We start from the raw sequence: 13074 nt of genomic DNA, 5'->3' as shown, positions 1-13074 counted from the left end.
TTTTTTTTTTTTTTTTTTTTTGAGATGGAATCTCCATCTGTCTCCCAGGCCGGAGTACAATAGCATGATCTCAGCTCACTGCAACCTCTGCCTCACAGGTTCAAGTGATTCTCCTACCCCAGCCTCCCGAGTAGCTGGGATTACAGGCACACACCATCACGCCCAGCTAATTTTTGTATTTTTAGTAGAGACAGGGTTTTGCCATGTTGGGCAGGCTGGTCTTCAACTACTAACCTCAGGTGATCTGCCCACCTTGGCCTCCCACAGTGTTGGGATTATAGGTGTGAGCCACCACACTCGGCTGTATAGCTAATTTTTTGTAGAGACAGGTCTCACCATGTTGCCCAGGCTGATCTTGAACCTCTGGGCTCAAGCAATCCTCCTGCCTCGGCCTCCAAAAGTATTGGGATTAGACATGAGCCACTGCAACTGGCCAACATCTTCTTTTTTATTAACTTAGTACTATGATACTTGAACTACCTTGGGAAAACTGAAGACTGAGACATTAATGAAAAAGAACTACAATCTAGAAGGTATGGCTTACCTTTGGTACTTTTGGGAATGATTTGACTCCATCGTGGCTTATATTCCTGTTGACTGATATACTGATTGAACAAGCCATCTGCAAATATTGAAGAATGAGAAAGAATTACACCTTAACTACTTACATTATTTATTATAGAAAAAAATTAAAATTTAAAAGGCTACATTAAAAGAAATTACTAATATGTCACTAATACAAAAGCACATTTTCATAAAATATGCATCACTTCAATTTCACTTCATGCTACCTCAAATATAAATAGTAAAATATTAATTGACACAACCATGCAAACAAATTGCTTTAGGGGAAGCTCATATTAAACGTACTATGTTTCTCATCATCACTGTATGTATTAGATACAAAGTCACTGTTGCATTCAACGGACACGTATGTGACATTATCAGAGGGTTAGAGACCTTGAAAGAAGGAAAAGGGAGTGAACTGGGAGGGGAAAAAAAGTCATAAGACAATTTAAGGCTGCAAAATAGAAGCAGGAGAAAATAAAAATAAATAATCTGAATAAATGTTCTACTTCATTGAAAAAAGATCTTATATATCTTTAAAAAATCATTTCTATCATTATCATAAATATAATTAAGAAGAGGAAAGGATAACTAAAGATTAGGAGAATTATATTTTCTTTTTGTGATCTCCCACCACTTGTCTTTATTTCAACTATGAAATTCTTAATCTTTACATCCTATAATGACATGGATTCATTGGATCCTAATCTCTTTCCCCCAACAGTGCTTTGTGCCAGTACTTTTTGCCACCCATATCCAAGAGAACTAGAGAAGAAAATAGAGCTCCAATAATTTTGGTCTAGGTCCTTGATACATTTTCAGGAAAAGGGAACACTAACTTTAACATGTGAATTCCATTATTATACAGTTTTGAGTACAAAACTACATAAAGATAAAAGTACTAACAGCAGTAATAAAACTATACTTATGGAACACTTACCAAATGTTAGAATTTATGCTGTCTCATCTCATTTAATTCTAAAAACAATCCTATGAACTACACATTATCATCTCCGTTTTATAAATCCAGAAATTTGTATTTAAAAAAAGTAAGAAACTTAACCAAAATCACACAGCTCTTAAATGGTGGGGCTGGTACTAAAGTTCTACCATGTTTTCCTTACTCCTGATTCTGCTGTATTGATAAACTCATAATCTACTTAAGTTGTTACACTAGTTACTGTAATGGTATGGAGACTGAACTCCCTACATACATCCCCCCACATACACACCTAAATAATTATGAAGCCCTACTCCCATGGCCCTCAACAAAGATTAGTTTAAGAACAGTATGGAACCCAATTTTGGCTAATGAAACATGAGGAATCTTCTGGGAGACTTCTAGGCAATTTTTCCTTACTTCTAAAGAGACATACAGAAAAAAAAATCTACTTTTATTCCTCTGGAATATCTGCATGTAATGTATACAAATATTAAAGCAAATTTGTCGAAGTACAAGAATGCAGTCAATTCTATAATGATGATACAGCACAGAGAAAGAAAGAAATGATCACTGAATCAACCAACCATGAAATCTGCCTTACCTCTGGACTTCTTGCTATGTGCTACAATAACATTTCCTTACTTTTTAAGCTAGAAACCCTAGCTTTTACATGCACCCAAATAGATCATAATTTATAAAGTTACTTTTACTATTAAACTCTGTCATGTGACTCAATTTAAAAGTAAAACTGTTTTCTGCGATTTATATATTCACCAGAGACCAACCAATTTAGAGCACTCCCCCTAATCTTTCTTTTCTGGGTAATTATGAAGCTCAGTTGTAACCAACCCTTTCGCTTTCAAGACTTTTCAGCTGGCTTTAACTGGAAACCTCCATCCTACAGGCACGCTCACCAAATTTCCTTTCTTCTTTGCCTTTGAGACTTTTCAAAATTCTTGCAAAAAGTCAGTAAATACTGCAAATACTAAAGCAGGGTAAAGGTTAAAAAAATGCATTGCTTTTACTACCTTGTTTTAATGTAAAAGAACTTCCTGCAACTTTCGCAACCTAAAAACAAAGAGTTGACACCTCTGCATCCCAAATAATCTCCATGCTCCCTATTATTTCTAATTCTTGCAAACGCTTGCTAATAAGGCCTTTTGCCTTGGTAGGCTTGCTTTAGATATATAATTCAGCAAAAGTCAGCCTCTCTATTGAAACAATGATATTCTCATCTATAAAAATATGACATCCATTACACTGTTTGAAAATCTTAGAAACAAATTAGTAAATAAGAAATTTAAAGATGCCTGTGAACCATGTGAGTTCAAAAATTATTTCTGTTTAAAGAAGAAGTCAGGCAGTTGCTAATATTTCTGTAAGTCTATTTTTGACAAAAATCTAAAGCAAGAGATCAGAACAGTCAGATAAAATTAAAACTATCCAAAAGAAATTAAAATATCACTAGGAGAAAGCACACTAAGAACTAGTTGTTAATAATTTTTAAACTATTTAACTAGAGTCTCCAGGTCCAATATCACTTCATTTTTTCTCCTATAATTATGACTATAATAAATATATTTCATACAGTCCTCACTGAGCACAAGCTGTTCTTTTCTCCAATAATAGTGGATACTCTCTTAAAAAAGCACATGATGGCCCAGCCTGGTGGCTCACACCTGTAATCCTAGGGTTTTGGGAGGCTAAGGCAGGAGGATCATTCAAGGCCAGGAGTTCAAAACCAGTCTGGGCAACACAGAAATCCTGCCTGCACACACATGCCCACATACACATACAACATGATTTAAAAAACATGATTTAGGAAGCTTTCACCAAAAGGGGAAAAAATTTCAAATCTCTTGCCCAGAATTAAAAAGAAAACAAAACCAAAAAAATCCACATAGATTATAGTACTGCTGCCTAGTTGTATGTATTTATATTTGGTAAACTCAAACTTTTATCAAATTTGATTTTGCACCAAAATAGAGATTACATACAAAAGAAATAATTTAAAATGCATGTATAGGTAAATAACTTATAGAGCATAAAATCCTTTTTGACCATTCAAGAATGATTAGATCAAAAAGAATTTTTAAGAAGCTGATTTCATCAGTTTGTCCAAATTCTGAAAAAAAGGGCAATATTATACCAGTAAGAATATAATAGTCAATATTATGACACTGAACTAGTAAATATTTACTAAGACGGTAAAGCTTAGAGATAGAGAGTATGGATTTTTGGCACCAGACTACCTGAATTCAAATCTTAGCTCTGTCACTTACTAGATACACCATCTTAAGCAAATTAATCATTCTCATATATTAGACGGAAATAACAACAATACTTAACCTAGAAGGTAAGTATGAAAATTAAATAAATTCACGTAAAAGGCCTAGGAGAATAAACGGCACATTGTCAAGCTCTCAGATGTATGTTACTTACGATGATGATGATGATGATGACAATGATGCAGTGTTTGGAAATGTACTTGACAGAAAATTAACAATCTTTTATGAACAAAATGAGAAATACAGCACCAAGGCAAATAGGAGTTAAGAGGAGGAAGGAGTGATTCAGTGAGAATATAATGAAAGAAGATACCTTGAAAGAGTTGGCTTTGAAGAATGCACTGGAACTGAATTATATAAAAAGGAAAGTAATAGGAAAGAGAATACAGCATACACAAAGGCACAAAGGCATAAATGAGCAAAAATTATGAAAAAAAAAAAAACCATGTTTCAGGAAAAGGGTCTGGCAGTTGGGAAAGGGGAAAAAAGTGAGATTTTTGCATTATGAGCATTGCTAAGAAACAAAATCTTAAAGAGAAAAAAGGTGTTATAAGGAAAAATCTTGCTATCCTGGAACACAGCCCTACCTCCTAACTCACAAGAAGCTTCTAAAAATAGGAAAAATTCACCACATTAAAATATTAATAATGTTAAAAAAGAATCAACCCAGGAATTATGCCACAATATAAAAAGGAAAAGAAATGAATTTTTTAAAGTAGCAAATGAATCTGATTCAACAGAAAAATGTAGCCTGCAATAGATGAAAGTAGCCAAATACCTTTCCACAAATTTATTCCACAAATAAAAAAAAGCAACTCTCTCTATGAAACATGAGTACAGATTAGAGATATAAGCAGTTGGAAAGTAGACATCTAAATAGTTGGAAAAGAAATGGCAAGACAACCAAAGGAAACAAAAATGGAATTGTTAGAAATGAGAGAAAAGAGGAATGAAAAAATTGAAAATATCACAGAACTGAAGGTCAAAGTGTAAGAAAGAGACACTAAAAATAATATAGTAGTGGAAATGGGATAAAGGGTTTAGAGAAGCTTAAAATATTAAACAGAAATGTGCAGTTAAAAAAGATAAAGGAGAAAATAAATGATAGACAAAGGCAACATATATTTAATTGAAAGAAAACCAAAATAGACAATAGTTAACAGGGCTGCCACACTGGAGTTTCGGACAGCCTTGTTAATGTAACTACAAAATAATCTAAAACAAATATAAAATATTTAAACAGTCAGAGGGAAAAAGATTATATTAAAAAATGGCAGTTGAAAATGATAGCACACCTCTCAACAGCAACAAGGAAGCTGGTTAATAACAGTCGAATGATATTCAAAATGTATTTCAAGAAAGTAAGTGTCAATCTGGAATTCTACATCTAGCAAAAATACCCTCCTATAAAGGAGACAAAATTTTCAGGCCATCAATTCTGAGAGAGTTGAGCTGCATTATAGAAGAAATTCTAAAGGATGGGCTTACGGCACAGGGAATGAACACAATCCTAGACATAAGATTAAAGACGCAAACAATAATGAAGAGAAAAAAAACCCAGTAAATATTTGGGTAAAATTAATGAACAATTGCTGTATAAGACAAATATTTTATAGGGTCTTTGAACATGGTATCAAAATAAATGACAACAATAGAGCAATTGACAACAATAGAATAATGAATTAGAAGGTGAGAATATGAAGCTGAAAGTCTACTAAATCCTCACATGGGAAGAGAGAAAAGGCACTGATCAATTTTGTTAAGGTAATCATGCATACTTGCAATTTCTAAACTAATCATAAGTCAAATGATTTATTAATAAAATAAAATTTTCTTTATTTAAATAAAATTTATAGGAGATATTTCTCTTAAGAGGGATAAAGGTTGAAAATAAAAGATGGAAAAGATATGCCATACAAATAAGAAATGAAAACAGATCTTAATACAATTTACCTTAAAGCAAAAATATTTCTAGAGATAAAAAGGCACTTCATAATAAAAGATTTAATTCAAAATAATTTAAAATTTGTTTTCAATTAAAAACATGGCATCAAAATGTATAAAGTAAAATTGGACCAACTATAGGAAACATATAATTCGATGATCATAGTGGAAAGTGTTAACATCTTTCTCAGTAATGAGAATCAGACAGAAAATTCTTATTGATAAAGATTTGTGCAATATGATTAGCAACTCTGACCAACTGAACAAATATACAACACTGCTCCAACAACTAAAGAATTCACATTCTGTTCAAATATATATGATATGTTTATAAAAATTGAATAAGCTGGGTTATATAGCAAGTCTCATTAAATTTCAAAGGACTGGAAACATACAGGATATGCACTCTGGCCCCTATGCAATTATGCCAGAAATCACTAACAAAGAAAACAAGTAGTAAATCGCCACAAATTTGTAAATTAAAAACCACAGTTCTTCCAAAGAGCCATTTCATTTCATAATGAAAATACTAAACTGAACAAAAATAAAAATACTTCATAGCACAACTAAAGAACAAGAGGAGGAAATTTTATATATTTAAATGTATATAAGGGAAATTTTCAAAGTCTGAAAACTAATGAGCTAAGCATCTGGCTTAAAAAGTTGTTATAAAAAGACAGCAAATTAATCTCAAAAAGAGAAGGAAGACAACAGTAAACAGAGCATAAGTCAAGGACACAGGAAATAACAGAAAAGATGAACAAACCAAAAATTGGTTCTCTCAAGAGACTAGTGCACTTGATAAACATGTGCTGATGGAAAAATATATATATATTCAAGATAAGTAACAAAAAAGGGGCATCTCAAGAAATCCTGCAGAAAAGATGAACAAACCAAAAATTGGTTCTCTCAAGAGACTAGTGCACTTGATAAACATGTGCTGATGGAAAAATATATATATATTCAAGATAAGTAACAAAAAAGGGGCATCTCAAGAAATCCTGCAAACACTAAACAAACAGTAAGATATTAGGTATACCTTAATACCCATAAATTTGAAATTTTTGATTATAGACAATTATAGACAATTCCTAGAAAAATATCATTTAATAAACCTGAACCAAACAATTAACAACTCTGATTAGTCCTATGATGTTTAAAGAAATTAAACTGATAGGTAAAAAACACTCCCACCCACCAAATTTCAAGCACAGACAGCTTCAGACACTGGAAAGTGTTTGTTTGTTTGTTTGTTTGTTTTAACCAAGTATAAAATAAAGAAGTAATTCGGCTGAGGGTGGCGGCTCACAACTGTAATTCTAGCACTTTGGGAGGCCAAGGCAGGTGGATCACTTGAGCCCAGGAGTTTGAGACCAGCCTGGGCAATACAGCAAAACCCCATCTCTACAAAAAATTAACCGGGTGTAGTGGCGCACACCTGTAGTCCCTGCTACCTGGGAGGCTTGGTAAGAGGATCACTTGAGCCCAGGGAGGTCAAGGCTGTAGTGAGCCGTGACTGTGCCACTGCACTCCAGCCTGGGCAACAGAGAGAGACCCTGTCTCAAAAAAAAAGAAAAGAAAAGAAAAAGAGAAAACAAACAAATAGCTCACACCCGAAATTCCAGTGCTTTGGGATCATTTGAGCAAGGAGTTAAAGACCAGTCTGGGTAACATGGCGAGACCCCATCTCCACATTTTTAAAAATTAGCCAGGCATGATACCATGCACCAATAGTCCAGGCTACTCAGGAGGCAGGAGGATAGCCTGAGCCCAGGAGTTCAAGGCTAAAGTTAACTGATCATGCCACTGTACTCCAGTCTGGGTGACAAAGAGAGACCCTGCCAAAAGAACACAAAAACCTCCACACAAAGGTAACTTCAGGTCCAGTTGCCTTCACTAGTAAATTCTACCAAGCTACTACTCATTCTACACAAACACTTTTAGATTCCTGCCCCATTCTATAAGACTGGAAGTACCCAAACATACCAAAAGATAACAAAACAAGACATGCACATTAAAAGAAAACTGCAGACCAATATCTTACATACACAAATATATGCAAAAATACTTCATAAAAAGGTGGCAGATCAAATACAATACCTGAAAAGAGTAAGACACCATTATCAAGTAGGGTTTGTAAAAAGGAATACAAAATTGCATTAAAAACAGAAAATCAATTAAGATAATTCAACATACATATGCCTTTATAATGCTTTGCTTGACCACGCTTCACAGATACTGTGTTTTTTACAAATTGAAGGAAGTCTATGGATGCCGTTTTTCCAACAGAATTTCTTCACTTGTGTCTCTCTCTCATTTCAGTAATTCTCGTAATGTTTCAACCTTTTTCATTACTGTCATATCTGTTACAGTGACCTATGATCAGTGATCTTTGATGTTAATAATGTAATTGTTTTGAGGCACCATGTTGTGTGTGTTCTGACTTCTCCATAAACCAGCAGTTCCCCCATTTCTCTCCCTCTCTTTGGGCCTCCCTATTCCCTGAGATGCAACAATACTGAAATTAGGCCATTTAATATCTTTACCACGGCCTTTAAGTGTTCAACACAAACCTCTCACTTTAAATAAAAAAACTAGAAATAATTAAACTTAGGGAGGAAGGCATGTCAAAGGCCAAGATAGGCTGAAAGTTGACCTCTTGCACTAAAGTTGACCAAGTTGTAAATGAGAAGGAAAAGTTCTTGAAGGAAATTACAAGTGAACCCATGACTGATAAGAAAGCAAAACAGACTTATTGTTAATATGGAGAAAGTTAGAGCGGTCTGGATAGATTAAACCAGTCATAACACTCCCTTAAGCCAAAACCTAATCTAAAGCATGGCCTTAACTCTCTTCAAGTGTGTGAAAGCTGAGAGAAGTCAGAAAACTGCAAAAGAAAAGTTGGAAGCTAGCAGAGGTTGGTTCATGAAGTTTAAAGAAAGAAGCCACCTCTGTAACATAAAAGTGCAAAGTAAAGCCACAAGTGTTGATGTATTATAGAAGATGCAGCAAGTTATTAATATCTAGAAGATCTTGCTAAGATCACTGATGAAGGTAACTATACTAAACAGATTTTCAATGTAGACAAAACATTCCAATAGACTTCTATTGGAAGAAGGTGCCATCTAGGACTTTCATAGCTAGAGTGAAGTCAATGCCTGGCTTCAAAGCTTTAAAGGATAGTGTGACTGTCTTGCAAGGGTTTAATGCAGCTAGTGACTTTAAGCGGAAGTCAATGCTCATTTACTATTCTGAAAAATCCTAGGGCCCTTAAGAATTAAGCTGAATCTACTGCCTGTGCTCTACAAATGGAGTAACAAAGCCTAGATGACAGCACATCTGTGTACAGAATGGTTTACTGAATATTTTATGCCCACTGTTGAGACCTACTGCTCAGAAAAAGAAAAAAAGATTTCTTTCAAAATATTACTGCTCACTGACAATGCACCTGTCACCCAAGAGCTTGATGGAGAAACACAGGAATATTAATGTTTTCATGCCTACTAACACATATCCATTTTGTAGCCTATGAATCAAGGAGTCATTTAGACTTTCAAGAAAATCTTATTATTTAAGAAACACATCTTGTAAGGCTATAGTTGCCACAGACAGTGATTCCTCTGATGGATCTGGGCAAAGTAAATTGAAAACCTTCTGGAAAGGATTCACCATTCTAGATGCCATTAAGAACATTCATGATTCATGGGAAGAGATCAAAATATCAACATAAACAAGAGTTTGGAAGAAGTTGATTCCAATGCTCATGGATGATGTGGAAAGTGTTAAAGGCTTCAGAAGAAGAAATTAACTGCAGATGTGGTAGAAATAGCAAGAGAACTAGAATTAGAAGTAGAGCCTGAAGATGTGACTGAACTGCTACACTCTCATGATAAAACTTGAATGGATGAGAAATTGCTTCTTATGAATGAGCAAATAAAGTGGTTTCTTGAGATGGAAACTGCTCCTGATGAAGATGCTGTGAACATTGTTGAAATGACAACAAAGGATTTAGAATATTACATAAACTTAGCTGATAAAGCAGCAGCAGGGTTTGAGAGGATTGACTCCAATTTTGAAAGAAGTTCTATTGTGGGTCAAATGCAATCAGACAGCATTGCACACCACAGATAAATCTTTTGTGAAAGGAAGAACTCATTGATGCAGCAAATTTCATTTTTGTCTTATTTTAAGAAACTGTCACAGCCACCCCAACTTTCAGCAATCACCATCCTTATCAGCCAGCAGCCATCAATACTGAGGCAAGACCCTTCACTAGCAAAAAGAGTATAACTCACTGAAGGCTCAGATGATCATTAGCATTTTTTAAGCAATAAAGCATTTTTTAAGTTAAGGTATATGCATTTTTTTTAAAGAAATAATGCCACTGTACCTTAAGAGGCTACAGTAAAGTGGAAAGATAACTTTTATATGCACATGCAAAGGAAATAAAATTTGTGACTTGCTTTATTGTGTCATTCACTTCACTGCAGTGGTCTGGAACCAAACCTGCAATATCTCCAAGATATGCCTATAATTAACAACTACTGCACAATCCAAAAAACCAGAGTGGAGAGATTATTTTTTAAACCAGGAAAACAGAAAAAAGAAAGAAGCAGGGAAAGACAAAGGGAGAAAGGTAGAGATTTCAGGTTGAAACTTTATGACTACCTTATTAAACTTTATCCTTCCCTTATCTCACAAAAGAAAATTTTTCTTTCTATAGCAAATAAGATAAGCTCAGCAAAGGGTGGATTTCAGTACAATCTCTACATGTCTGAGTAAAACATTCCTGTCCCTAGGTGATTACTTTTGCCTATCATCACTGGATCCTGCATGGGCAAAGAGGTAGTAGCAATTATTGGTTCCAAAATCACCTCTAATAAAATGAAATGTAAATACAGTGATGTTTCTAGACAAACAAAAAGCCTATTACAGAAATAAATAGAGCCTTACACTTTCTTAAAATACAGAAAATACTTAAAGATCATACTAAGTAATATACTAAAAATACTAAAAGTAGCTTTTGTATCCTCCATTACAAGAAGCTTGACAGAGACTCTTTTGATTCCCTAGATCTTCCTATTTAGCAGGCAGGAACTTCTTGTCCTTCTCTGCTATGTTTTTAATAGAGCAGAAGCCAAAAAACTCTGCACTGTTTACTTCCTTATTTGTCCAACAAATCATCATCAATGAGATCAGAAGCAAAGAGAACAACCCTGAAAGGAATGTTTATTAACTAACAGTGTTCCAGGCCAGTTTAGAAAGCCCATAGTATTCACAGTACAAAAACTATGATGTGGCTGTAAGTTTCAAGAATTGAGCAACTACTAATTTCTCTAAACTTGGTTCCTTTCTAGAGCCAAAGGATAAGTTAAGTCTCTGTAGATATCAAAACTGCACAAGATTTTTATCAGCTAATCTTAACCAACTGAGTACGTCACTAAAGAGACCTTTAAAATATAACTGTTTTTAGCTTATTAACTGTAGAGTTGCCTGTGGCTGTTGTTTTGCTTTCCCTTCACAAAATGGTATCAAATGCCTTACTGATAAATATCTGAAACAAACAAAAAAGCCCTAAAATTACCTATGCCTCCCTCATCTTATGAGGTTAAAAAAAACCCACAGAATTCACTCCTAGAAATGGCATATATATATATATATATATATTTTTTTTTTATTGGTAGCATTTTAAAGTCTGTTAAGAGATTAGTTATTTGTTTGTTTATACTCCAAAATATACTCAATTTCAAACATACCTATCATTTATTTGCAAGTATCATCATCAATCAAGTAAGCAATAACAATGCACAAGGCTTAGAAGCAGATTTGTCATATTTCAAAAAGTGGAGCTCAAAGCAATTCATTTTAAGTTAACTTTAAATTTATAAACTCAAGGCAGTACAAGTCTGGTTTTTTTTTAGCTACCCAATATCTGATAAATATGAATACCTAATAATAGACGATAATAACAGTGATAAAATTAAAATGAGAGCAAACCACTGAATAATCTATTATTTCTTATTTCTTCCTATAAAGGATGCACCAAATTCAATTCCACAAGTTTTATATTGTGCAACTATTCTGTTGTTTGTCACTATGAAAGTTACTGAGGAAGATTAAAAAAAAAAGTCATACTATAAGCAACAACAGAGTCCCTTTTTAGTTTAAATAACAAAACACATCAGACCTTAAAAATCCAAATGAGTGTTACCCTCCAAAGCCAATACCCTGGGAGATAATACAGATGTTCAACTATTCACATTTCTTTCAAAGCCAGACTACAGGTCACACAAGAAAATCAGCAATTATATAGCATTCACACCACAAGGAAGTTGTTTTCAATACAAATCTCCTTGTTCCTTATATATAATTGTTTACTAATAACATTTTTTATTATCTAGCCCCCCTTCTCCTCAAAACTACACTGTTAATGAATATTGGCTACCAATATCAAAATATTATTTCTGATACAGTTTAATGCTAGTTAATCATTTGTAAGTGCATGGTTTCCCAAGATGACAACTTAAATTTATATGTGAGTTCAAGTACATTTCAATTTTTTAAGTCTCATTACATCATGGATCTATTTTACATGAAAGAAGTCCCTAATCCAAAGAGATAACAATCTTTAACCGAGTAAAAAACCAAGAAAAAAAATTACAGTAATAACTGGCATAAGCCTATATTATTTTTGAGAAAAAGTTTCCCGTATGTACTTGAATTTACCCTAATAACCAATCTAAGTTTCATACCATTTACAGCCTTTTCAATCAACTCTTCGCAAGCATCAAAATCACCCTTCAACACCAGCTTGTCATGAATATCTGTTAACATGGGATGTTCCAGTGCAATCTTGGTTTTCTTTTGCAGTGACTCAAAAGCTTCTGTATAGTTGTGTTGTCTGAAGTGTTTTAGGCAAAGGCGAATAGCTTCCTGTTCACGGTACTACTAGAACACAGAGTAAGTATGGAAAGAAGAGATTTGGTTAGATGATACTGTAGGAAACAATAACAACAGTAAAAATAACTAATCTACACTGAGCATTTATTAACACTATGTGCCAAGCAGTTTACTAACCTGATTCATTAGGTATCATTATTTGGCTCTTTTAACTAGCAAAACTAAAGCTTGGCCTGTTCCAATAACTTGCTCAAGGTCACAAAATATGTAGCCAAAAGTTATTAAACCAAACCTAATTCCAGAGCCTCAACTTTGAAGAAAGGGAGAACATCTATTTCTTAAACTCCACTTAATACTGTAAAAATTATAACTCCATAGCATCTATTAATCCCATTACAATGCAGGTACTGAGAGCACAAAAGAACATTAAAT

The 13074-nt window shown here is 34.0% G+C and overlaps 1 protein-coding gene across 7 annotated transcripts in view, besides 1 other annotated feature; it reads right to left on the bottom strand.

The window, feature by feature from the left end:
* The window catches only part of MKLN1 (muskelin 1), a 386539-nt gene that overhangs the window by 84705 nt on the left and 288760 nt on the right, over positions 1-13074 (bottom strand). For 6 of the 7 annotated variants that reach the window (NM_001145354.2, XM_047420401.1, NM_013255.5 and 3 more), the window contains 2 exons: positions 12495-12687; positions 545-622 (listed from right to left, as the gene is read on the bottom strand). In NM_001145354.2, coding sequence (NP_001138826.1) covers positions 545-622; positions 12495-12687 — 271 coding nt within the window. Of the gene's footprint in view, positions 1-544; positions 623-12494; positions 12691-13074 lie in introns of all 7 variants that reach the window. The other variant, NM_001321316.2, reaches the window with a different exon arrangement.
* Positions 1852-2052: a silencer, noted in NCBI's record as "peak6726 fragment used in MPRA reporter construct". NCBI's record gives its function as "represses an SCP1 promoter by STARR-seq MPRAs in K562 erythroleukemia cells {active_cell/tissue: K562}" and the evidence as "EXISTENCE:reporter gene assay evidence [ECO:0000049][PMID:32103011]".

The sequence above is a fragment of the Homo sapiens genome, chromosome 7 (assembly GCF_000001405.40).
Source record: "Homo sapiens chromosome 7, GRCh38.p14 Primary Assembly".
NCBI lineage: Eukaryota > Metazoa > Chordata > Mammalia > Primates > Hominidae > Homo > Homo sapiens.
The sequence above is the reverse complement of the archived record's forward strand: the minus strand, read 5'-3'. Positions and strand labels throughout refer to the sequence as shown.